This window comes from Homo sapiens, chromosome Y (genome assembly GCF_000001405.40).
Source record: "Homo sapiens chromosome Y, GRCh38.p14 Primary Assembly".
Lineage (NCBI taxonomy): Eukaryota > Metazoa > Chordata > Mammalia > Primates > Hominidae > Homo > Homo sapiens.
The window spans coordinates 1,708,806-1,712,475 of NC_000024.10; the positions used below are offsets into that span (position 1 = coordinate 1,708,806).

The 3,670-nt window shown below is 40.8% G+C and overlaps 1 annotated feature.

Annotated features, from left to right (window-relative positions):
• Positions 445-944: an enhancer, noted in NCBI's record as "H3K4me1 hESC enhancer chrY:1778143-1778642 (GRCh37/hg19 assembly coordinates)". NCBI's record gives its function as "activates a minimal SCP1, AML or CMV promoter by ChIP-STARR-seq in naive H9 embryonic stem cells {active_cell/tissue: H9 hESC(naive)}" and the evidence as "EXISTENCE:reporter gene assay evidence [ECO:0000049][PMID:30033119]".

A 3,670-nucleotide genomic window follows, 5' to 3' on the forward strand; every position in this document is an offset into this window, starting at 1 on the left:
GGAACTGCATTCCTTTGGAGGAGGAGAAGCTCTCTGCTTTTTAGAGTTTCCAGTTTTTCTGTTCTGTTTTTTCCCCATCTTTGTGGTTTTATCTACTTTTGGTCTTTGATGATGGTGATGTACAGATGGGTTTTTGGTGTGGATGTCCTTTCTGTTTGTTAGTTTTCCTTCTAACAGACAGGACGCTCAGCTGCAGGTCTGTTGGAGTACCCGGCCGTGTCAGGTGTCAGTGTGCCCCTGCTGGGGGGTGCCTCCCAGTTAGGCTGCTCGGGGGTCAGGGGTCAGGGACCCACTTGAGGAGGCAGTCTGCCCGTTCTCAGATCTCCAGCTGCGTACTGGGAGAACCACTGCTCTCTTCAAAGCTGTCAGACAGGGACATTTAAGTCTGCAGAGGTTACTGTTGTCTTTTTGTTTGTCTGTGCCCTGCCCCCAGAGGTGGAGCCTACAGAGGCAGGCAGGCCTCCTTGAGCTGTGGTGGGCTCCACCCAGTTCGAGCTTCCCGGCTGCTTTGTTTACCTAAGCAAGCCTGGGCAATGGCGGGCGCCCCTCCCCAAGCCTCGCTGCCGCCTTGCAGTTTGATCTCAGACTGCTGTTCTAGCAATCAGCGAGACTCCATGGGCGTGGGACCCTCCGAGCCAGGTGCGGGATATAATCTCCTGGCGTGCCGTTTTTTAAGCCGGTCTGAAAAGCGCAGTATTCGGGTGGGAGTGACCCAATTTTCCAGGTGCCGTCTGTCACCCCTTTCTTTGACTAGGAAAGGGAACTCCTTGAACCCTTGCGTTTTCGGAGTGAGGCAGTGCCTCGCCCTGCTTCGGCTCGTGCATGGTGCGCGCACCCGCTGACCTGCGCCCACTGTCTGGCACTCCCTAGTGAGATGAACCTGGTACCTCAGATGGAAATGCAGAAATCACCATCTTCTGCGTCGCTCATGCTGGGAGCTGTAGACCGGAGCTGTTCCTATTCGGCCATCTTGGCTCCTCCGGCTGTATAACATATATTAATGTAAACTCTAGTATAAACATGTATATACTAGTATAAACTCATGTATATACTAGTATAAACTCATGTATATACTAGTATAAACTCATGTATATACTAGTATAAACTCATGTATATACTAGTATAAACTCATTAGTATTTGTATAATATATATTAGTATAATAAATTAGTGTAAACTCATTAGTATAAGCTCATATATAGTAGAAAAACCCATTACTATTTGTATAATATATATTAGTATAATAAAGATATAGGTATAAACTTATTAGTATAAACATATATGCTAATATAAACTCAGTATAAGTGTAATATATATTAGTATAATATCAACATAAACTAGCAGAAACTAATATATATACTAGTATAAACTCATTAGTATTTGTATAAGTATAATATACATTAGTGTAAACTCATTAGTATAAACTCGTATAGTAGAATAAACCCATTACTATTTGTATAATATATATTAGCATAATAAATATATAGGTATAAACTCAGTATAAACATATATGCTAATATAAACTCATTAGTATAAGTGTAATACATATTAGTATTATAAATATCAACATAAACTCTAGTAGAAACTAATATATGTACTAGTATAAACTCATTAGTATTTGTATAATATATATTAGTATCATAAATATATATTACTGTAAACTCATTAGTATAAACTCATGTATATAGTAGAATAAACCCAGTAGTATTTGTATAATAATATTAGTATAATAAATATACATTGTTATAAACTCATTAGTATAAACATATATAGTAGTATAAACTCATTAGTATTTGTATAATATATTAATATGATAAATTAATATACCAAATATACCAATAAAAATTGGTATAAATTCATTAGTATAAACTCATATATACTAGTATAAACTCAGTATCTGTATATTAGTATATATTATAAACTCATAAACACATATACTAGTATAAACTCATTAGAATTTGTATTATATATTAATAGTATAAACTCCTATATATACTAGTATAAACTCAGTATTTTTATAATATAAATATGTTAGTAGAAACTCATCAGTGTAAAGTCATCTAAATTAGTATAGTAAATATATACTAGTGTAAACTCATGGCTATCTGTTAACAAACAGGAAGGTACAGAGCTGATGTCTTGAGCTAGCTGGAGATTGCCTTCCGTGGTGGGTTATAACCCAGTACTATCCTTAGCTATTTTTAATTTTTATTTTTATTTTACTCTGTGGCCCAGATGGTTTAAGTCTTGCCATTGGTTGGTCTTGGGAAGATCTTCCAGACTGGCTGCGGCATTGTGACCTGTGCAGTGTCCCTCATTTTGAGTTTTTCTGATGTTTTCTCATGGTTAGAGGGAGGCTTTGCATTTTTGGAAGTCCTCTGTTTGTTAGGATGTCAGTGTAAGGCGATGTTACCATGATGTCTACACACTCTTTTTTTTTTTTTTTTTTTTTGGAGACGGAGTCTCACTCTGTCACCCAGGCTGGAGTGCAGTGGCGCAATCTCAGCTCACTGCAAGCTCCTCCTCCCAGGTTCACGCCATTCTCCTGCCTCAGCCTCCCAAGTAGCTGGGACTACAGGCGCCCGCCACCACACCCGACTAATTTTTTGTATTTTTAGTAGAGACGGGGTTTCACCGTGTTAGCCAGGATGGTCTTGATCTCCTGACCTCGTGATCCACCTGCCTCAGCCTCCCAAAGTGCTGGGACTACAGGCGTGATCCACCGCACCTGGCCCTGTCTACACATCTTGACATCTTGTTTCTAGTGATGTTAATCTTGATGGTGAAGGTGGTATGTGCTGGAAATAATCAATGGGTTGGGGGGTATAGACTTGAAGACTATATGCAAATGTCCTGTTTCTTTTTCTTTTCTTTTCTTTCTTTTTTTTTTTTTTTTTTTTGAAAACGAGTTTTGCTCTGTCGCCCAGGCTGGAGTGCAATGGGATGATCTCAGCTCACTGCAAACCTCCGTCTCCCTGGTTCAAGCGATTTTCCTACCTCAGCCTCCCAAGTAGCTGGGATTACAGGCCTGTGCCACCACACCTGGCTAATTTTTGTATTTTTCGTAGAGACGGTTTCACAATGTTGGCCAGGCTGGTCTCAAACTCCTGACCTCAGGTGATCCACACACCTCGGCCTCCCAAAGTGCTGGGATTATAGGCGTGAGCCACTGTGCCTGGCCTTCCCCTCCCTCCCTCCCTTCCTTTCTCTCTCTCTCTCTCTCTCCTTCTCTTTCTCTCTCTCTTTCTCTCTTTCTGTCTCTCTTTTTCTTTCTTTCTCTTTCTTCCCCTCACACCCGTCTCTTCTTATTTTTTTTTTGAGATAGGGCTCTCTCTGTCACCACCCAGGCTGTAGTGCTGTGGCCCAATCTCGGCTCGCTGCAGCCTTGACCTCCGAGGCTCAAGCAATCCTCCCACCTCTCAGCCTCTCAGGTCTCTGGGACCACAGGTGCATGCCACCATGCCCAGCTAATTTTTTTTTTTTTTTTTTTTTTTTTTTTTTTTGTAGAGACAGGGTCTTGCTATACTGTCTAAGCTGGTCTTAAACTCCTGATCTCAAGCGATCCTCCAGTCTCAGCCTCCCAAAGTGATGGGATTATGGTGTGAACCACCGTGCCCAGCCCTATTTCTTCTTAAACCTCTTCATCAGTAATTTTAACATTCACAGTGAATA